The 24,385-nt window shown below is 39.2% G+C and overlaps 1 long non-coding RNA gene across 3 annotated transcripts in view; it reads left to right on the forward strand.

The window, feature by feature from the left end:
• The window catches only part of LOC105370839 (uncharacterized), an 89,243-nt gene extending 68,539 nt beyond the window's left edge, over positions 1-20,704 (forward strand). Inside the window, exons 1-4 of one of the 3 annotated variants that reach the window (XR_932311.2) lie at positions 59-206; positions 16,990-17,145; positions 18,445-18,495; positions 19,939-20,704. This is a non-coding gene — a long non-coding RNA (uncharacterized LOC105370839). Of the gene's footprint in view, positions 1-58; positions 207-15,438; positions 15,530-16,989; positions 17,146-18,444; positions 18,496-19,938 lie in introns of those variants that run through there. The other 2 variants (XR_932313.2, XR_932310.3) reach the window with 2 other exon arrangements.
• Positions 20,705-24,385: the final 3,681 nt, after the last annotated feature.

Below are 24,385 nucleotides of genomic sequence, written 5' to 3' on the forward strand. Positions count from 1 at the left end.
GACTCTGTGAAATGCTGGATTCCTTCCTTCCTTGAAAATGCTGTTCTTTCAAGTGGTTTTCACCTTGAGACTAAGGAACACCTTTCACCCTCAGTCTTGATCATAGCATAGGCTGGTCCAGGAGAGATGTGGCTTGAAACCAGCAGGGCCAACATTTTTTGCAAGTAGAAGAGGCAACACGAATCCATTTCAAGACTGCTCATGGGGTAAGAGGGAAACCTTCTAGCTACCAACAAAGGCTTTTCCAAGACCTCTACCGGCTCCATGCACTCTTAAGTTTTTTGGAAGCCTTACCTTACCCACATTGTATCAAATATCCTACATCCCACTTTATAGGAGATGCACATAAAATCATATCAGTTGAAATGAGTTGCAGTTGATTGGGAAACATGTTTCATTTTGTAAAAGCTTAAACATTTATTAATATGAATTTTATAGTTTCAGATTTTTCATTAGTAATTTCCTTCCAGGATCCCAACATTTTATTAGGCTCTTGCAAAGTCCAAGTCCCAGGCTCTGTGTTTATGGATCCAATGGTTAAATTACCCTGTTGCCAACTATCGCCCCTTAGGCTGTAAGAGAAAAGTTACACTGACAGTGTATGGCATTCTTACCTGGGGCAGTTCCTGTCCCTTCCACACCACAGTTCCATGACCAGTAAGGTATTACCAGGGCTGAGTTAGCCAAGAGAACCAGCAGACTGCTGTCAGCAGGTGGGGTTTAGAGGTTCAGGAAGTGGCTGGATTTGAAAAGGAAGTAGAAAATCTACTCAAGGCAGTGAGACAGAGCACGGACCTCCTCTTAGGGCCTGCGGGGGCCCCCTGCAAGCCTGGAAATAAAGGAAAACCTTGAGTTCCTGCAAGGGAAGTTCTAGAGACAAAGCTATCCCCGAGAAGTAAATTCTCACTTGCTAATCAAGAAGATAATAGCCTCAAACAACAGCCAAGGAAACTGGAATCACCGGATATTTAGTTCTCTTATAGAAACTAAAGATAATAACTCATATCTCCAAGCTGTTTTCAGGAACCTGGATTCCAACTCAACAGACTCGTCATAGGCCTCAGAGAAGGGGGAACTGGAGACTGACCTCTGACCACCATTCTTTATTTTAAATATTTTCCTGAGGGGCCTGGAGAAAGTCATACCCATCAGCCAAAGCTAACATTATTGCCTGCGGGCCCAAATTAAGGAAGCTTCTCTTCCTTAACCAAGTGCAAATCAGAAAATCTTTGAATGTGCCTATGTTCAGTAAGCCCCCACTTAAAGAATATCCTGCCCTCTTAGGCCAAAATCAATTTGTAATCTCTATGTATTGATTTACAATTTTGCCTGTAACTTCTGCTTTTCCAAAATTTACTTCTGTCTTTAAAAACCATTACCTGTAAGCCATCAGGGAGGTCAGGATTTCAATGTTAGCTGCCTGTTTCTCCTTGCTTGGTGGCCTGAAAAATAAGCAACTTCGTTTCTCCTGCAGCACACTTGGTATAGACATCTGGTGTCACTGCACCAGGCGAGCAGACTCCAGTTCGATTTGATAGCAGCAGTAAATGGGAAATGCTAGCATCTCTCCTAGTCTTAGGTTATGGTCCCAGTTGGAGAAAGCAGCCAACTACAGGAAGGGACAGAAATGTAACAGACAGATCCTTGATAAGCTTCCCACACAGCCTAGGCTGCCTGACTGGCTGTACTCCACACAAGGAAGACCACACGAGGCCTGAAAAAGAGTGAACACTGGCGTCGCTTCCAAGATGGACGAATAGGAAGAGCTCCAGTCTGCAGCTCCCATCGAGATTTATACAGAAGATGGGTGAGTTCTGCATTTCCAACTGAGGTACCTTGTTCATCTCACTGGAACTGGTTGGACAGTGGGTATAGCGCATGGAGGGTGAGCCGAAGCAAGGCAGGGCGTTGCCTCACCCAGGAAGCACAAGTGGTTGGGGGATTTCCCTTTCCTAGCCAAGGGAAGCTGTGACAGAATGTATCTGGAGAAAAGGTACACTCTTGACCAAATACTGCGCTATTCCCAGTCTTAGCAACCGACAGACCAGGAGATACCCTCCTGTGCCTGGCTCGGCAGGTCCCACGCCCACGGAGCCTTACTCACTGCTAGCCCAGCAGTGTGAGATTGACCTGTGATGCTGCAGCTGGATGGGGGATGGAGCATCCACCATTGCTGAGGCATGAGCAGCTCACAGTATAAACAAAGAGGCCTGGAAGCATGAAATGGGCGGAGCCCACCACAGCTCAGCAAGGCCTACGGCCTCTATAGATTATACCTCTTGGGGCAGGGCATAGTAGAACAAAAGGCAGCAGACAGCTTCTGCAGACTTTTAAACGTCCCTGTCTGACAGCTCTAAAGAAAGCAGTGGTTCTCTCAGCACAGCATTCAAGCTCCAAGAACAGACTGCCTCCTCAAGTGGGTCCCTGACCCTCGTGTAGTGGGACTGGGAAACACCTCCCAGTAGGGGCCAGCAGACATGTCAAACGGGTAGATGCCTCTCTGGGAGGAAGCTTCCAGAGGAAGGATCAGGCAGCAATATTTGCTGTTCTGCAGCCTCTGCTGGTGATACCCAGGCAAACAGGGTCTGGACTGGACCTCTAGCAAACTCCAACAGACCAGCAGCTGAGGGGTCTGACTGTTAGAAGGAAAACTAACCAACAGAAAGGAATAGAATCAACATCAACAAAAAGGACATCCACACCAAAACCCCATCTGTAGGTCACACACATCAAAGACCAAAGATAGATAAAACCACAAAATGGGGAGAAACCAGAGCAGAAAAGCTGAAGATTCCAAAAAACACAGCACCTCTTCTCCTCCCAAGGATTGCAACTCCTCACCAGCAAGGAACAAAACTGGATGGAGAATGAGTTTGACGAGTTGACAGAAGTAGGCTTCAGAGGGTCGGTAATAACAAACTTCTCCAAGCTAAAGGAGCATGTTCTAACCTATCGCAAGGAAGCTAAAAACCTTGAAAAAAGATTAGACAAACGGCTAACTAGGATAAACAGTGTAGAGAAGACCTTAAATGACCTGATGGAGCTGAAAACCATGGCACAAGAACTTCGTGACCTATGCACAAGCTTCAATAACTGATTTGATCAAGTGGAAGAAAGGATATCAGTGACTGAAGATCAAACTAATGAAATAAAGTGAGAAGACAAGATTAGAGAAAGAAGAGTGAAAGGAAACGAACAAAACCTCCAAGAAATATGGGACTATGTGAAAAGACCAAATCTACGTTTGATTGGTGTACCTGAAAGTGATGGGGAGAATGGAACCAAGTTAGGAAACACTCTTCAGGATATTATCCAGGAGAACTCCCCCAACCTACAAAAGCAGGCCAACATTCAAATTCAGGAAATACAGAGAACGCCACAAAGACACTCCTCGAGAAGAGCAACCCCAAGACACATAATTGTCAGATTCACCAAGGTTAAAATGAAGGAAAAAAATATTAAGGGCAGCCAGAGAGAAAGATCTGGTTACCCACAAAGGGAAGCCCATCAGACTAACAACAGATCTCTCAGCAGAAACCCTACAAGCCAGAAGAGAGTGCGGGCCAATATTCAACATTCTTAAACAATTTTCAACCCAGAATCTCATATCCAGCCAAACTAAGTTTCATAAGTGAAGCAGAAATAAAATCCTTTACAGACAAGCAAATGCTGAGAGATTTTGTCACTACCAGGCCTGCTTTACAAGAGCTCCTGAAGGAAGCACCAAACATGGAAAGGAACTACCAGTACCAGCTATGGCAAAAATATGCCAAATGGTAAAGACCATCAGTGCTATGAAGAAACTGCATCAATTAACAGGCAAAATAACTAGCTAACATCATAATGACAGGATCAAATTCAAACATAACAATATTAACCTTAAATGTAAATTGGCTAAATGTCCCAATTAAAAGACATAGACTGGCAAACTGGATAAAGAGTCAAGACCCATCTGTGTGCTGTATTCAGGGGACCCATCTCACATGCAAAGACACACATAGGCTCAAAATAAAGGGATGGAGGAAGATCTACCAAGAAAATGGAAAGCAAAAATGAAAGCAGGGGTTGCAATCCTAGTCTTTGATAAAACAGACTTTAAACCAACAAAGATCAAAAGGGACAAAGAAGGCTACTACATAATGGTAAAAGGATCAATTCAACAAGAAGAGCTAACTATCCTAAATATATATGCACCCAATACGGGAACACCCAGATTTATAAAGCAAGTCCTTAGAGACAAACAAAGAGACTTAGACTCCCACACAATAATAATGGGAGATTTTAACACCCCACTGTCACTATTAAACAGATAAATGAGACAGAAGGTTAACAAGGATATCCAGGACTTGAACTCAGCTCTGGACCAAGTGGACCTAATAGACATCTACAGAACTCTACACCCCAAATCAACAGAATATACATTCTCTCAGCACCACATTGTATTTATTCTAAATTTGACCACATATTTGGCCAGTAAAACACTCCTCAGCAAAAGAATAGAAATCACAGCAAACTGTCTCTCAGACCACAATGCAATCAAATTAGAACTCAGGATTAAGAAACTCACTCAAAACTGCACAACTACATGGAAACTGAATGACTTGCTCCTGAATGACTACTGGGTAAATAACAAAATGAAGGCAGAAATAAAGATGTTCTTTGAAACCAATGAGAACAAAGACACAACGTACCAGAATCTCTGGGACACACTTAAAGCGGTGTGTAGAGGGAAATTTATAGCACTAAATACCCACAAGAGAAAGCAGGAAAGATCTAAAATTGACACCCTAACATCACAACTAAAAGAAGTAGAGAAGAGCAAACAAATTCAAAAGCTAGCAGAAGGCAAGAAATAACTAAGATCAGAGCAGAACTGAAGGAGATAGAGACACAAAAAACCCTTCCAAAAAAAAAAAAAAAAAATCAATGAATCCAGGAGCTGTTTTTTTTTTTTTTTAAAAGATCAACAAAATAGACCACTACCAAGACTAATAAATTAGAAAAGAGAGGAATCAAACAGACGCAATACAAAATGATAAAGGGGATATCACCACCAATCCCACAGAATACAAACTACCATCAGAGAATACTATAAACATCTCTTTGCAAATAAACTAGAAAATCTAGAAGAAATGGATAAATTCCTGGACACATACACCCTCCCAAGACTAAACCAGGCAGAAGTTGAATCTCTGAATAGACCAAAAACAGGTTCTGAAATTGAGGCAATAATAGCCTACCAACCAAAAAAAAGTCCAGGACCACATGGATTCACAGCTGAATTCTACCAGAGGTACAAAGAGGAGCTGGTACCATTCCTTCTGAAATTATTTCAATCAATAGAAAAAGAGGGAATCCTCCCTAACTCATTTTATGAGGCTAGCATCATCCTGTTACCAAAGCCTGGTTGAGACACAACAAAAAAAGAGAATTTTAGACGAATATCTGTGATGAACATCGATGAAAAAATCCTCAATAAAATACTGGCAGACCAAATCCAGCAGCACATCAAAAAGCTTATCTACCACAATCAAGTGGGCTTCACCCCTGGGATGCAAGGCTGGTTCAACATATGTAAATCAGTAAACATAATCCATCACATAAACAGAACCAACGACAAAAACCACATGATTATCTCAATAGATGCAGAAAAGGCCTTTGACAAACTTCAACAGCCTTCATGCTAAAAACTCTCAATAAACTAGGTATTGATGGAACGTATCTCAAAATAATAAGAACTACTTATGACAAACCCACAACCAACATCATACTCAATGGGCAAAAACTGGAAGCATTCCCTCTGAAAACCGGCACAAGACAGGGATGCCCTCTCTCACCACTGCTATTCAATATAGTGTTGGAAGTTCTGGCCAGGGCAATCAGGCAAAAGAAAGAAATAAAGGGTATTCAATTAGGAAAAGAGGAAGTCAAATTGTCCCTGTTTGCAGATGACATGATTGTGTATTTAGAAAACCCCATCATCTCAGCCCAAAATCTCCTGAAGCTGATAAGCAACTTCAGCTAAGTCTCAGGATACAAAATCAATGTGTAAAATCACAAGCATTCCTATACACCAATAATAGACAAACAGAGAGCCAAATCATGAGTCAACTCCCATTCACAATTACTACAAAGAGAATAAAATACCTAGGAATCCAACTTACAAGGGATGAGAAGGACCTCTTCAAGGAGAACTACAAACCACTGCTCAATGAAATAAAAGAGGACAAAAACAAATAGAAGAACATTCCATGCTCATGGATGGGAATAATCAGTATCGTGAAAATGGCCATACTGCCCAAAGTCATTTATAGATTCAATGCTATCCCCTTCAAGCTACCAATGACTTTCTTCACAGAATTGGAAAAAACTACTTTAAAGTTCATATGGAACCAAAAAAGAGCCTGCATAGCCAAGACAATCCTACGCAAAAAGAACAAACCTGGAGGTATCACACTACCTGACTTCAAACTATACTACAAGGCTACAGTAACCAAAACAGCATGGTACTAGTATCAAAACAGATATATAGACCAATGGAATAGAACAGAGGCCTCAGAAATAACACCACACATCTACAACCATCTGATCTTTGACAAACCTGACAATAACAAGCAATAGGGAAAGGATTTCCTATTTAATAAATGGTGCTGGGAAAACTGGCTAGCCATATGTAGAAAGCTGAAAATGGATCCTTTCCTTACACCCTATACAAAAATTAACTCAAGGTGGATTAAAGACTTAAATGTTAGACCTAACACCATAAAAACCCTAGAAGAAAACCTAGGCAATACCATTCAGGACATAGGCATGGGCAAAGACTTCATAACTAAAACACCAAAAGCAATGGCAACAAAAGCCAAATTTGACAAATGGAACCTAATTAAACAAAAAAGCCTTGGTACAGCAAAAGAAACTATCATCAGAGTGAACAGGCAACCTACAGAATGGGAGAAAATTTTTGTAATCTACCCATCTGACAAAGGGCTAATATCCAGAATCTACAAAGAACTTAAACACATTTACAAGAAAAAAAAAACCCATGAAAAAGTGGGCAAAGGATATGAACAGACACTTCTCAAAAGAAGACATCTGTGCAGCCAACAGACACAAAAAAATGCTCATCATCACTGGTCACAGAAATGCAAATCAAAACCACCATGGGATACCATCTCACGCCAGTTAGAATGGCAATCATTAAAAAGTCAGGAAACAACAGATGCTGGTGAGGAGGTGGAGAAATAGGAACACTTTTACACTGCTGGTGGGAGTGTAAATTATTTCAACCATTGTGGAAGACAGTGTGGTGATTCCTCAAGGATCTAGAACTAGAAATACCATTTGATCCAGTAATCCCATTACTGGGCATATACCCAAAGGATTACAAATCATTCTACAATAAAGACACATGCACACATATGTTTATTGTGGCACTATTTACAATAGCAAAGACTTGGAACCAACCCAAATGGCCATCAATGATAGACCGGATTCAGAAAATGTGGCACATATACACCATGGAATACTATGCAGCCATAAAAAACGATGAGTTCATGTCCTTTGCAGGGACATGGATAAAGCTGGAAACCATCATTCTAAGCAAACTATCACAAGGACAGAAAACCAAACACTGCATGTTCTCACTCACAGGTGGGAGTTGAACAATGAGAACACATGGACATAGGGTGGAGAACATCACACACCAGGGCTAGTTGTGGGGTGGGGGGCTGGGGGAGGGATAGCATTGAGAGAAATACCTAATGTAAATGACGAGTTAATGGGTGCAACACACCAACATGGCACAGGTATACCTGTGTAACATACCTGCACTTTGTGCACATGTACCCTAAAACTTAAAGTATAATAAAAAAAGAAAAAGAAAAAGAGTGAACACTGAGGCCAACCTGGAAACAGCATTAACATTGAATGTGCTCCCCATCCCATGCATGGATCAACTGGCAGGGAAAGGAAGCCTAGGTTTTGCGCAAATTTTCTGACCAATCACTGGTTAGCCATATACAGACCCACAGGCACCCACTAGAAGGCCAGACTTAAAAATAAGAAGGATTGAAAGAAATCAAAGCATAGCTATCACTGGCAGCATGCATACCACAAGGAGAGAGATTCCACAGATTAAGTCCAGGAAAGGTGGTTTTTGGTTGTTTTTTGGGTTTTGTTGTTGTTATTGTTTTCTCAAAAGACAGTTTTCCACTCCAACATTTAAAGAACTCAGAAATCACCACTCTGTCCTCACAAGAGAAAAGCCGGACACTCTGAATGTCAAAACTCTTTTGATCCATCACAGAATTGAGCAAAGAGGGCAAACCACCATCCCCAAAACTGGAGAAACAGGAGAATATACGGAATCACAGATGACCAGAAACAGAGGTCACAGGAAGTAGTAACTGGGAAGAACACTTGGATGCTAATAGACGAATTGCTGGAGGTGGAGCAAGATCTGGCTTGAGAGTTAAAAACTCCTGGGGGCCCACTCATAGGGATACTCCAACACTTTCATGAGTTTCACCTCCAAAAGCCCCATCAGATTCTCACACTGAAGATGCGAGAAAAATGTCTGGCATCCAGCAGGGAGATAAGGAAATAACAATTTTGAAATAAACCTGGGGTTGGAGGAGTAACCATTATAATTTGTTAACTGAGCATTCCTTTCTCTGTAATAAAATCCTGCCCTCAAGAGAAATTTCTTTACCAGACTCTTATCCGACCTAGGAGAATGGCAATTAGACAACTTGAGCCCTTTCTGTCCTATTTCACATCAGGGGACAAAAAAAAGACTAAGACACTCTCCTGAAAAGACTCAGACCCACTTTAAAAAACCCTGAAATTTAATCATATTATAGAATGCTTCAACTCCCTGATACTTATCGCCACATCAACAGGGCTCTAGTACAGTGACAGTGGATTACAACTGAGAGAGCTGCAAGATACAGACTCCATCTAAGAAAAAGTAGATAAACATAAAACCTCGCCCTAATAGCCTATTTACCTCAGTTCCCATGAACTGATACATCATTTCTGGCTTTCAACAAAAAAATTATAAGGCATGCTAATGACTGGAAAAAACAGTCTGAAAAGACAAAGCAAGTGTCAGAACCATACTCAGGTATGACAGGTATTAGAATTATCAAATGGGAATTTAAAATAACTGATTAATACACCAAGAGCTCTAATGAAAAAAGTGGACAACATGCAAGAACAGATGGGTAATATAAGCAGAGAGATGGGAACACTAAGTAAGAATCAAAGGAAACACTAAAAATCAAGAACACTAAACCAGAAATGAAGGATGCCTTTGATGAACTCATCCTTGCTTGGTGCCCTGACCCATAAACTGGGTCAGGCTGAGAAAGAAGCAGTAAGCTTAAAGATATTTCCATAGAAATTTCCCAAACTGAAAACCAAAGAGAAAAAAGAATAGGGGGAGAAATGAACAGAATACCCAAGAACTGTGGGAAAATTGAAAAAGGTATAAATATGCATAATGAGAATGCTAGAAGGAAAAGGAAGACAGAAAAGGATTTGATATATGTGAATAATAATGGCTGAGACTATTCTGAAATTAATGACAGGCTTGAAACCACAGATCCAAGAAGCCCAAAGAATGCCAATGATATTTAATATCAAAAAATTTACAAACCACATATAACCAAATACAAACAGAAAATTATGAAAGAAGCCAGAGGAAAAGCATTACCTTACCTATAGAGGAACAAGGAGAATAATTTCAATGAACTTTAGAAACCATGTAAACAAGAAAAGAATGGAGTGAAATATTTAAACTGTTGAAAAAAACTCCACCAATCTAGAATTCCATACCCAGTGAAATAATCCATCAAAGGTGAATAAGAAATAAAGACTTTCTCAGAACAAAAAAAGAGGGAATTTGTTGCCAGTAGACCTGCAAGAAGTGTTAAAAGGAATTATTTAGAAAGAAGGAAAATTATATAGATCAGAAGTTTGAATCTACATAAAGCAAAAGAAAGAACATTAGAAAAGGAACTAATGAAGGTAAAATAAAATGTGTTGTTTTTCTTATTCTTAACTGGCCTAACAGATAACTGTCCAAATAATAGCAATATATTTAATAATTATAGCTTATGGACAAGTAAAATGGATGACATTAATGGTATAAAGAGATGGGAGGAAGAAATTGGGAATATTTTGTTATATGGCACTTACACTACTTGTGAAATGGTATAGTATTATTTGAAAGTAGACTTAGATTATGTAAATAAACATCACAAATGCTAGAGCAACCACTAAAAAATGTTAAGACTTATAATCAATATGCTAAAAAAAGGAGAGCAATGGAATAATAAAATGCTCCATTAAAACCAAGGCAATAAGAAAAAAGAAGCAAAGAACAAATATAAAGCAATTACAAAAATGGTAGATACTAACCCAACTATATCAATAATAGTTTTAAGAATGAATGGTCTAAATAAACCAGTTAAAAGACAGAGACTGTCAATGTGGCTGAAAAACAAGACCCAACTGTATGCTATCTATGAGAAATCCACTGTAAATATAAAGACACAGATAGGGTAAAAGTAAAGGGATGGAAAGAGATATGCCATGTTAGAACTAATCAAAAGAAGCTATAGTGGCTATATTAATTTCAGAAAGCAGACTTCAGAGCAAGAAAATTATCAGGATGAAGGGTATTTCATAATGTCAAAGCGATCAGTTCTGCAACAAGATACACGGTGCTTATATGCACCTAACAAGAAAATGTCAAAATAGGTGAGACAAAAACTGATAAAACTGCAGGAAAATATAGGGAAACCCATTATTATAATTGAAGACTTCATCACACCTGTCTCTATAATTGACAGATCCAGCATGTAGAAAATTAGTAAAGATAGAGTGAACAGAATAGCACCATCAATATGAATTGACATTTAGAGGATAGTTTATCTAACAACAGAATATATAGTCTCAACCTAGAGCATACAAAAAGATGACCACATTTTGGATCATAAAATACACCTGTTTCAAAGCTGGCCTTTGGGATTGGATCCACTCAGGACAAGACCAAGGATCACATCCTTCTCAGGCAGCCAGTGTGACAATTCTACAGAGCATTTTAAGCAAAGCCAACTAAATTCATCATTAAGTAAGATATAGGAAAACTCCAATTAAACAAAGTGCTTCAGAAATAGGTTGTCCTTAGATGTCCAAGACTACAGGATTAAATAAATGATGGGACATCCAAATAGTGCAATACACAAGAGTTATTAAAAATCATGTTCAAGAATGTAATTAACATTGGAAATGCTGTTATGTAAAATCTTATATGAAAAACTGATCAAAAAAAGTAGGAACAATTTTTTAACCTATAATACAGATGAGAAAAAGACATCAAAAAGCTATCAAGATTATTTCTGTATAATTTTTTCTTCTTTTCTAAATTTTCTCAACTTTGTACAATAAACATTTATTACTTTGATGTGAGAAAAATATTGTGATTGGAAATTGATTAACCTGTTTAATTATATTTTTTAATGAATGAAAAATTAAGTAAAATACTTTTGGATGGTTTAAGTATTTTAGTGCATACTGTGAACTAAAGCACAACACAAACCCAGTGGTCTGATTATATTCAGTGAAATCAGTCAATCAACCAACCAATCCAGAAAAGCACCCCTGGCATATTTAAGCCTATTAAAAACAAAAACAAAACCACTTGTAAATTTAAGACAAATGAAAAAAATTGCATCTTTTCTTCTTATGTAAGCATCTCATAGGGCCTACAGCTTATAAAGCAAAACATCATTAATCATCACCATAGAACCACGAATGCAGGTATAGGGGGTTTAAAATCCACTGATTCAGGTATCATAGCTTGGAACAGCATTTAGTGACTGAACTCCTGGATTACATATCTTGCATATGTGGTATTTTTTTCAAAAGTTCAGTGCAACACAAATTCCAAAGAGCTCAGCTCTTTGGATTCCTGTTATAATCCTGTTGTACTCATTTTTGGGGTGCCATTTCAAACATGCAAGTTTTACTTAAGTTCTTACACTCATATTTAGATTTAAAAAATTATTCATTTATTGGTTTTAGTAGGTAAAATAGTCAGGTGGTTCAAATATCAAAGAGCACTAAAGTGCATAGTCTGAAAAGCCTCCCTGCCATCCATATACCCATCTACACAGTTCCCATCCTTCTCCAACGAACAACCACTATTGTTAGTTTCTGGTTTATCCTTCCAGAGACTTTAAATATATATATACAAGCACAGTATATGATTTCCTTCCTCTATTTTATCCAAAATATTATGCTATTATTCACCTTCCTTTTATTACCTAACAGTGAAACATATCTTAGAGATCTTTTAAAATCCTAATATAAACGATATGTTATATGGCACTTACACTACTTGTGAAAGTATTTACTAGTAGAATGAGAACGACATTCTCATTCTTTTTTACAGTTGCATAGTATTGTTTTGTAGGAAGTTATCATAAGTATTAAGCAGTCCCCTATGGATAGATGTCCAAGTTTTCCAATCTTCTGACAAACAACTCTGCAATAAGTTATCTATTACATAAATTATACAAATGCATAGGTATATCTATAAGGTAAATTGCTAGATGTTGAAGTGCTGCATAAAAGGGAATATTTTTAATTGTCATTCCATTGCCAAATTGCCCTCCAGAGGATTTTCACCAATTTATACTCCCACAAGCAATTTATGAAAGTGATCATTTCTCTACATCCTTGCCCAGGACGTGTTAGCAAACTTTTAGCCTTTGCCTAAGTGGTAAAAAAAAAAAAAAAAAAAAAAAAGATTACTACAGTGCAGTTTTAATTTACCTGTCTCTTCTATTATGTGCAAGGTGGAGCATCTTTGCATGTATTTAAGTTTTATCTGTGGCTCCTTTTGGTAAACTTTCTAATAAGTATTTTGTTATTGACATTTAGGATCTCTTTATATTCTAAAGAAGATAGTTCTTTGCAATAGGAGCTTAAAATATTTTTCCCAATTTATCATCTTTCTTTTGATATTGCTTTTTGGGGGGAGTGGGAGGAGACAGAGTCTTGCTCTGTGACCTAGGCTGGAGTACAATGGCACAATCTCGGCTCACTCCAACTTCTGCCTCCCGGGTTCAAGCGATTCTTGTGCCTCAGCCTCTTGAGTAGCTGGGAATATACGTGCATGCTACCACACCCGGCTAATTTTCGTATTTTTAGTAGAGACAGGGTTTCACCATGGTGGCCAGGCTGGTCTTGAACTCCTGACTTCAGGTAATCTGCCCACGTCAGCCTCCCAAAGTGCCGGAATTACATACCTGGCTGTGTTTGATTTTTACTATGTAAAAAAAAACTTACAGATATGCATGTAATATAAACACACATACTTGAATCTATTCATCTTTAAGACTTCTAGACTTTAAGTCATAGTTTACAAACCCTTTCTTATTTTGAGATTTAAAAGCATTCTTTCATGCTTTCTTCTTTAATTCAATGTATTCATTTATTTATATTAAAATTTTTCTCCATTTGGATTTTTCTTTGTATACAGTGCGAAGTATGAATTCAACTTAATTTTTTCCAGGCTGTCCTTTGTCTCACATCACCAGTTTTTAAATAGTTCATTTTTCCCACTGATTTGCATTGCCACCCTTTCATATATTAAAATTGTGCGTATTTTAGATTTCTAGACTTTTTGTTCTTTCATTTCTCTGACATGTACTAACAATACACTAACAATAGCTAATGCTGTATAACATACAATAGCTGCAACATCTATTTCTCCGAATTTTTGTTCTTCTTCAAAGATCTTTCTAGCTCTTAGAGAAAAAATTTTCCTATATGTTGCATGTAACTACATACAACTAATTTTGCCTGGTTTTCAAGAGAAATAAATAATCTTTCTGGTATTTTTGAGGTCCTGTCTTAATGTATAAATTAACTTAGAGAAGATTGACATCATTATGATGTCGAGTCATTTTTGACAAGAACAGGATAGGCCTTTTCCCATTTTTTTCAATTATTTTAAGGTCTTCGGGAATGTTTTCAAATTTTCTTTATATATGGACTTTTACTTTTATTAAATTTATTCCCATGTATTTTATCTTTTGGTTGCTACTGCATATAGTTTTTTCTTTTGTCTTCTGTTTTCCTTTTACCCTTTTATCTGATTCCAGATCAGTGGGAAAAATGAACTGTTCAAAAACTGGTGATGAGAAAACAGGGCAGCCTGGAAAAAATTAAGTTGAATCTATACTTCATGTTGTACCAAAGAAAAATCCAAATAGAGAAATTTTTTTTTTTTTTTTTAGATAGTCTCGCTCTGTCACCAGGCTAGAGTGCAGTGGCGTGATCTCGGCTCATTGCAACCCCTGCCTCCCAGGTTCAAGTGATTCTCCTGCCTCAGCCTCCCAAGTAGCTGGGACTACAGGCATACGTCACCACACCTGGCTAATTTTTGTATTTTTAGTAGAGACAGGGTTTCACCATGTTGGCCAGGATGGTCTCAATCTCTTGACCTTGTGATCCGCCCACCTCGGCCTCCCAAAGTTTTGGGATTACAGGCGTAAGCCACCATGCCTGGCCCCAAATGGAGAAAATGTTAAGGGCTGTTTAAGTCATAGTTAGACTCCCAGATCCAGGCATGGCACAACCCCTACTCCAACACAGGATTGAAAGGTTTTTGTTTTGTTTTTTGTCTCATGAAGGTAAAGCAAAGAGTATTTCAAGTAAAAACTACTAGGTACAGTTGACGGTGGAGGTACCATTCACAAACAGGGAGAACATGTGAAACTGAGTCCCTCCCGCTAGCCTTGCCCCACTTAGCTTAGGGAACCCTAGCAGCCAGGCAGTCTTACCTACGCAGAAGACTGAAAGATTCTTTCATGGAGGTCTTATCAGTCCAAGAGCAAAAACTAATGCACACTGTATTGAGGGGTTCCTCACTGAAGTCTCAGCCTAATTACTCTAAAATAAAACACTCAAGTCCCACTCATGTGCTCCCATATTCCAAACAGATTTTTAGTCTCTTCGTCTGCTCAAGCTGTCATAACAAAATACTACAGATTGGGTGGCTTAAACAGATATTTATTTTCTCACAGCTCTGGAAGCTGGGAAGTTCATGATCAAAGTGCCAGGAAATTCAGTTTCTGGCTTGCAGATGGTCGCCATCTCACCATGGGCACACATGTCCTTTCCTTGGTGCTTATGGGTAGTGAGGGGGAGAGAGAGTGACAGCATGCACGAGCTCTGATACCTCTTCTTATAAGGATCAGCCCCCTCCGCTTGACCTTATTTAACCTTGACTACTTCCTTATAGGCTCCATCTCCAAACACAGTCACATTAAGGGGTTAGGGCTTCAACATGTGAATTTGGGGTTGATAGAAGTTTTCAGTCCCTCTGACATTGTCAAACCAAACTGTTGTCTACAGGATTTCAACCTATGGACAGTGATTAGCAAGCATCAGCTCTGCCCTTCTTATTTGACTGTTGCACCTCTGGGTGTGCCCACTGACTTTCCATGCCAAGGTATAACTAAATGGGAAAGTACTTCCTGTTTCAGAATCAAGATATTTAGATCCATTGGATCTACAGTAGATAGGATCTGGTGTTACCTTCTGTGGACACCACCACACCTTTCTAAGTCTGTTAGAGGCTTCTAAAACTGGTACAGATGGAGAACTGAAGACTCCCCATTTTTTCTTTTCATTGACTTTAAACATGTTCCATTTTAAGGCCTTGTTTGAAAATATCTATTGACTGGTATATAGAAATGTACATCTCTGTAATAATTGTGCTTTTTTGATATACAAACGCTTCACCCCCTAATAATCCTTAAGCAAACACAGGTGGGATTCCCATCACCAGCAGAGGCTGATAGCAGCTTCTTATTGGAATGGGTGAGCATTGCAAATGAGCATTGCAAAACAGCCCAGACTGGGACAGCCACATACCACTCTGTCACCAAGACATCCCTTCCAAGCACTGCCACCTCTACTACTGTGAGCTCTTTGCCTCCCTCCCATCTGCCTATAGGGCCACAAAGGAAACTCTTATCCTTCATCAAACCCAGCTCTGAACAGTGAGTTTATGTGAGATATGTTGTCCCTTTGTTTGCTCCTGACAAGCGTAAAGAAACACTTTCACTGCTGATAATAATGGTTAATTTATCACATCCAGCCGAGGCTGACCTCTGGGCGTCCCAGCCCCTCCATCACCTTCACACCTGCTCAAGCTAATTGTTAGAGCCAAGTGTAAATGAAAATCAACTGGGCTAATAATGAATGGAGCCCATTACTTCCAAAAGCACATTGCTTTACAAAGGTTTATCAAGAAACATTATAACCAGTTCCCCCCACCCCCTGCGCCCCCCCATCCCCCGTCACAGTTCCCTATTTTATAGATGAGAAAAAAGTGAGCAAACAAGGAGGGACCAGCCTATGAAAACAGGCACAAGCACAGAGACTGGAAACACATTTGACTTTGGCTTCCTGAGCTCTACAACAGCTATTCCTGTGTGTTACCAAAATTCACTCAATGTATCGAAAGAGTGAGGTTTACAATATTTATCCCAATGTTGTTGTCATCTGTTTATATAAGTAAATGAGATCATTACTGGATGTGAAGACCTTAATTAATATGCTAATCTCATTCCTCCACCAAAACCATTTTTTAAGGTGGCCATCTTCATGTCTTCCCCAGTCACTGTCACCTCCCCTAGAACTGCCTTGCCATTCTCATCTGAAAGCACAGACCCAGTTCCCAAATCACTGATATGACATAACCAGAACTCCTGTTAAAGACAACTGAGTGTCTTCAAGGGGCAGCTATTAGATTGTCAGGAATTATCAGCTGTAGTTAGAAGATATAGCCCTAAGGGGGTTTGAGAAATCCCTTCCCATCACCAAATTGGGGGTTTAATGTGTCTGGGAACATTTTTAAACTTTTTTGTATTGTAATATATTTGTTCATTTTTAATTTATTTGCAGTACAAGCAGTTCACATCCCCATCTCAAGCCATAAATCAAAAAGATTATTGATCTCCCAGCACATTCACTGATAAAAGGAAATACCAGCAACTCCATGCATCTGAGCATACAACTTATATGGACTTCTAGCAAGTGATCCCCTGGACTTAAAAACATGTAAGACCTCCAGATCACCAGTTTGAACTTAATTTGGACCAAATATTGAGTCATTCTGTGTTAGATTTGAATCAATTGTTCATAGGATGCAAATAACCAGTTTACAATATGAACAAGTGCGACTGATTACCCCAAATTTTGACTTCCTTGCCTAACTATCCAGAAAATTACTCTCAAACCCAGTAGAGGATTCCATAGCCTTGCACTGACAAGGCCTTTATTAACTACCTTAATCTGGGCATCTTACTTACCCAGGTTTTCTAATACTTCCTAGAGAGACATACTAATCAGTGACTTCTGCAGTATCTGCCTAATAGCCTTAGATTTTGAGGGCACCAATAAAAACATATGCTGCACAGCATCTGCTTGTAAGGTGGAAAGGCCAGTTAGGTGAGCACAAAGCCTCTGAATAGCAGTATCAACTTGCTTCAGAGGAACAAGATATGAATTAGTATTCTACAAGAAAAGAGGATAGGATCTATGGTTGTAGTAGTCCGTTTTCATACTGCTGTAAAGAACTTCCCAAAGATTGAGTAATTTATAAAGGAGAGGTTTAATTGACTCACAGTTCAGCAGGGCTGGGGAGGCCTCAGGAAACTTACAATCATGGAGTGACGCAAAGGAGAAGCAAAGCACCTTCTTCAAAAGGTGGCAAGAAGAAGTGCCGAGTGACGAAGGGAAGAGCTCCTTATAAAACCATGAGATCTCGTGAGAACTCACTGTCACGAGAACAGCATGGGGAAACTGGCCCCATGATTCAATTACCTACACCTGGTCTCTCCCTTGACACGTGGGGATTATGGGGGTTGTGGGTATTACAACTCAAGATGTGATTTGGGTGTGGACACAAAGCCTAACCATATCAATGGTCAAATAAGAATGGAAAAAATATTGGGTTTAATTACATTCAATAGACTCCTTTCTTTCAAGGCAGGGATTCTCAGAAGTAATACATATGTCAGCCTACTTTTCATTGACATGAATATAAAATCCTCATTTCACAGAACACCTGTGAATATATTGAATAACATTAGTATTCAACAGAACAGGATCAGGAAACTTCCTCTAGAAGGCGCTTTCCAAATAAAGACCAAATACACTGCTGCAGGAGGGAAGAATAAATTCATTTACATATATGTCTGTGGTAAGGGATAAAATCTTAAATTTTTGCTGGCTTCACTTATATGAAATAATTCAGTGATTTGGGATTTTGTGTTAGTTAGCTCTTGTTGCAATAAGTCTACATAACAAACAATTTCCATATCTCAGACATTTATAACATTAACTTCTCATTCACAGGTCTGAATCCTGGCTGGGACAGTTTGGCTTTAAGTAGTACATCAAATTCAGGTGTGTTCCATGTGTTTTTCATTCAGGAATCCAGGCAAAAAAGCTGTGGCTACCTCAGTGTGCTTTTCTCGTGGTGTAGAACAGGTGCACAAAATTGCTGGCAAACATTTACCAAACCTCTTAAGCCTCAGCCTAGAACTGATCACCTATCACTTTACCACATTCCATTGGTCAAAGAAAGTCATATGGCCACACCCAAAACTAGTGGGGCAGGGTGGTATATTCTACCCACAGAGAAGACAGGCAAGGGCAGGGAGAGAAGGAAGAATGGTAAGTAACTAATAATATTCACTACATTGACCATAAATTCAAGATTTAACCATGTGTGGGAATTCAATCATATTTTTATTTCCTTTAAACACAAATGTCCTGGTCAATAATTCAAACGTGCACATTATTAGACTTAATAATAGGAATATAGAGCCCACTTCTTTTCTTTCTTCTTGTTCTTCCTTGCTTTGGAAAAGTCAGCATTCAATGTGTATGTGTGCCAATCCAGGGAAGTCAGAAGACTATGGCATCTTCCATCCAGATTCCTGGGTGGATGTCCTGAACACCAACACCATAGTCAAATGTTTATTTAAGAACACTAGTGTATGCTTCTTTAATACAGTGTAACAAGTTACCACAAATTTAGCATCTTAGAACAATACACATTTATTGTCTCATGGTTTCTGTGAGTCAGGAATCCAGACACAGCTTTGGCTGAGTCCTGTGCAAGGCTGCAGTCAAGGTCAGCCAGGACTGACTTCTCATCTGAAAGCTCATGTGGAGAAAGATTCACTTTCAGGCTCACTGGGGTGTTGGCAAAATTCATCTTCTTGCAGGCATAGGACTCACGGCATCTTGTGTCTCCAAAGCCAGAAAGGAGAGAAAAACTGTAGAGCAATTCTGCTAGCAAGGCAGAGTCTTCTAAAATGAAATATAATCACAAGAGTAGTATTGCATCACCGTCTCCATACTCTGTGGCCTAGAAATAAGTCAGGGGTCCTGCCCACACCCAAGGGGAGTGAATATACAAAAGCATAAACACCAAGGGGCAGGAATCATGGAGACCACCTTAAAGTTTGTCCACCACAACTAGAAACCTAAAAAATATGTTTATGTCTATTAAGAACACATGGGCACAGGGAGGGGCACATCACACACCAGGGCCTGTCAGGGGGTGGGGGGGCAAGGGGTGGGATAGCATTAGGAGAAGTACCTAACATAGATGACACATTGATAGGTGCAGCAAACCACCATGGCACATGTATACCTATGTAACAAACCTGCACATTCTCCACATGTATCCCAGAACTTAAAGTAAAATTTATATATATATATCCTGCTTTTCCCAAATTTTACCAGTGGAGAATCACTCTCCATCATGTTCTAGAATTGCATTCACACTTAGGAGAACTCGCATTCACTGGCTAATTCTATATTGCGTGCTATTTTAAGATCTTTTCAGGAAGGAAACTTCTGCCATCAGTTGGCCAATGCTGTTCCATCAGTGAGTATTCAGTGTCACTAACCAACAGAATGACCAAGAAATCATTCCAGTCAGAAAAGGCCCAAGTACCAACGATTGGACAGTCGTGATTTATATTTGTGCCTGATATGACCAACATAAGTCACACTGGTTATGCATGGAAATGCAACCATCAGCTGACAAGAACTGAAACTTATGACTCATGCTGTGTCAACTCTGAGCCAAAGCAGTCAGTCAACTCAAAGGGAGTAAACATCAGTCAAACAGATGATTTGGCAGCCTAACTATTTAACAACTGATGATGACTGGAATTTTCACTTTTCCATCAGTCACATAGACTTGTCTCAGGAAGAGAAATAACTGAAGTTTAGAGTAGTTTTCTTTTGATTTTTCATAAAAGTCATTCATCCCAAAACATTTGCTGAATGCCTGCTGTGTTCTAGGTACTCTATTTAGTGCTTGGAATATAGAGATGAAAGACTGAAGTAGTGTTAGAAATGAAAAATCATTGTTAAATTCTTTCTCTTCTAATACGATTATCTATGCTGCTAAGCAATTTTCTCAGTGATCATCAGCCATCAGCCATCAAAACCCGGGACCTTCCCCACAGCTCCTCTTTTAACCCTAATATTTAACCAAAAATTGCTCTGCTGCGGCAAAACCTCAATACGTATACACTGCCTTGGTTCCAAAGAGTAATTGGAATGGGCTTACTACTTTCTAGTGGATTTATAGAAAAAGCCATCTGATAAAAATATATTTACTATGATGCCCATTATAACATCTGAGGTTAAGAATACTTTGTATTCTACAAACATTTGAAAGCCAGAGGTCACGTAAAACAAATGCAGGTTTAATACAAATGCACAAAATTACACATAAACAGAGAACGCTACAGAGAGAGAGATAACCTTGGATAACTTGGCTCTTTCCTTCCCTATTCTCTTTCTGGAGGTAATCGTATACATTCCCATGGCTTTTATACACTAAAGCTTTTAGACAGCAAGTAGATGACAAACTCACTTTAATAATCAGTTATCATAAGCTTGGTATTGGGGTTAAAAATAAACTCTTGACAAAGGACTCCTTTATTCTTAAATCCCTTTTATTGTCAAGGACTCCTTTATTCTAATGCAGTGGCTCCTGAAAAACTTTCCTTTCCAAGGATACTTTTCCAAACACAATCAATAATCTACAATCAACTTTGTAATCTCTTTAGAAGCCAGGACCTTCTCAGCTTTGGAGTTTTGATGATAAAATGCATAGCTGGATTTCTACAAGCCCAAGATCTAAAAACTGTATTTGTTGGTTATTAATCAGATTATTAATAATCTGGTGTTTGAGACATACTGTGAAGTCAACAGTTATAAAAATTATTAATTTTAGAAATTCAGAGTTATAATGGGTCTAAAAATATAGTTAGAATGAATGAATAAGGCCTAGCATTTGATAGCATAAAAGGGTGACTGTAGTCAATAATAATTCAATTGTATATTTTAAAATAACTGGAAGAATATAGCTGGATTGTTTGTAACACAAAGGATAAATGCTTGACAGGATGGATACTTCATCTTCCGTGATGTGATTATTACATGCTGCAGAACATCTCATGTAACCCATTAATATATACGCCTATTATGTACCCACAAAAATTAAAAATTAAAAAAAGAAATTCAGAGTTAAAATGAAGTTTTGTTTTGTTTTGTTTTGGCTGAGACAGAATCTCGCTCTGTTGTCCAGGCTGGAGTGCAGTGGCGTGATCTTGGCTCACTGCAACCTCCGCCTCCCTGCAACCTCCACCTCCTGGGCTCAAGTGATTCTCCTGCCTCAGCCTCCCCAGTAACTGGGATTACAGGCGCACATCACCATGCCCGGCTAATTTTTGTATTTGTAGTAGAGATGGAGTTTCACCAGGTTGGCCAGGCTGGTCTCGAACTCCTGACCTCAAGTGATCTTCCAGCCTTGGCCTCCCAAAGTGCTGGGATTACAGGCATAGAGCCACTGTGCCTGGCCTGAAATGAGTTGTAGCCTGAAAACCAGATGTGTTTCACATCTGGTCTATCCCCTCTCCAGAGCTCAATTCTCCACAGCAACATCTGTAGCAGGTAGTTTGTCCAGCTCTTACTCAAACAGCCCCAGCCAAATCGCCCCAGCTTTCCAGTGGGGAGCTCACACCTTCTGAGAGTTTATTTCATCTTCTCACATCACCTTAGCATATATTCCTTATTTTACTCAGTGTTTTTGTCATATAGCTTTAATCCACGATCTTGGCTATACCCCTTGGAAAAAAAATCTTTGAAAAAAACATTAGTTTTTTTACATTGTATGTAATGCCTTCATACAATGGTTCTCCAAATATTGGAAATCCCCTGCCATGTCCTGAATACTCTCTTCCAAAAATGCCTTGAGTCATTCCTCGTTGAACATTGTAAAATCAAATTTAGCCCAAAGCTGCCTTCTTACGAATTTTAAGTTCAGCCTAAAGGTTTCTCTGTTACATAGTGAACTATAACCTAAATGGAGGTGTAAACAGACTGTAACCTACTCTTGTGCAATCACCACGTTTAAGCCAATCAGGGAGGCCAACTGTTCATAAAAGCAAACTCCGAGCTGTCAGCAATCTAGCTATTTCTCTACCTCACTTCCATTTTCTGTACATCACTTTTCTTTCTTCCTTTTTCCTTTTTGTTTTTGTTTTTTTTGTTTGTTTGTTTTTTTTTTGAGACACTTTTGTTCTGTCACCCAGGCTGGAGTGCAGTGGTGCGATCTCGGCTTATTGCAACCTCTACCTCCTGGGTCAAGCGATTCCCCTGCCTCAGCCTCCCTGAGTACCTGAGTAGCTGTGACTACAGGTGTATGCCACCACGCCTGGCTAATTTTTTGTATTTTAGTAGAGATGGGATTTTACCATGTTGCCCAGGCTGGTCTCGAGCTCCCTAGCTCAGGCAGTCCACCCACCTCAGCCTCCCAAAGTGTTAGGATTACAGACATGAGCCACCACCCCTAGCCTTTCTTTTCCTGTCTATAAATCTTCTTCCACAACATGGTTGTGCCAGAGTCTCTTAGCCTACTCTGGCTAGGAGGCTGCCTGATTCACGAATCGTTCTTTGCTCAATTAAACTCTGTTAAATTTAATTTGACTAAGGTTTTTCTTTTTTAACAACATGATTTTGGTTTTACTACCATCCTGGTTTCTAATCTCGTATCTATAGATTTTATCCATGATTTTGTAACACAATCATTCTTTTGATCAACAAAGGGTAAATTACTACAGCAACTGCACCTACAATTAAGGATAACTTACTTTCTGCATTATTTTATGCCATACTCTGAAAAGCAATACAAAGTTCCCAGGTAGAATACATTGCTCTGGAAATGTAATCAATCACAGGATCCATGGTGGATTAAAGGCTGAGAACCATTGCTTTAAATAATCCCCAGTTTGTTTATATTCTTTGAAAAGTGTAGTAGCCAGAATTGAATGCAAAAACCAAGAGGTGGGTTAGCAAAGGCAATCCAGACTTGTTCACTAAATCAAAACTTTCTTCTCTTCCCACTCCTACCTCCCCTTCAGGGTTCAGCTAAAGCTTTGCCTCATACATGAAACCCTTCAACTGGAAGAACAAAATTTTTAATTCCCAAAGTGCTCCCATTGGACACAGACCTAGGCTGGACTCTTGAGATCCTCCACTCCCAGCCATGTGTCCTTGGGCAGCCTTCCTGATCCTCCCTGAACTCAACTTCCTGAGGTGTAAAATAGGGGTTGTTTCACCTCACCAGATAGCTTGGAATTTCTAGCACCATACTTTGTGATGTTATTTCATTGCCTTTCTTCTATTCCACTCTAAACTGTGCTCAGAACATTGAGCTGCTAAGCTTCAAATACAGGGCATACCCGCATACCCAGAATTATCATACCAGGAAAGAAGATAGAGTGCTAAGAAATTGAAATTAATAAAAGTCAACACAGAATTATTGCACTGGCCATCAATGGAAATCATCCTAGAATGCTACCCACAATTAGAGATGACTTGTAACATAAGACTAAGGTGCCACCCAAAAATGTTCTCTGCAATGGGTCAATCTAAACAAGAACTCTTGCCAGATGATCTATAAACTAACCACAACAAGTTGCCTTACATACATGTAACAACACTTCTGCTAATCTGCACAAGTCTAGAAAAAGAGGAATTTACAGTAATTTGATTGTCCACAAGACTGTTACTCTAGGTCTAGGTAATCAGTGCTGACTCCTACCACAGACACTAAAGAAGAGTGATTCATCAAGTTATCACTCAAGAATATTAAACTCCTCCACTGAACTATGGGACTCACTGGGAACCTTCGAACCTGTGACATAATCTCCTGAGTGAACAAACATACAGAAGAGTGTGTCTGGTGTGGAGAATTGACACC

The sequence above is a fragment of the Homo sapiens genome, chromosome 15, assembly GCF_000001405.40.
Source record: "Homo sapiens chromosome 15, GRCh38.p14 Primary Assembly".
NCBI lineage: Eukaryota > Metazoa > Chordata > Mammalia > Primates > Hominidae > Homo > Homo sapiens.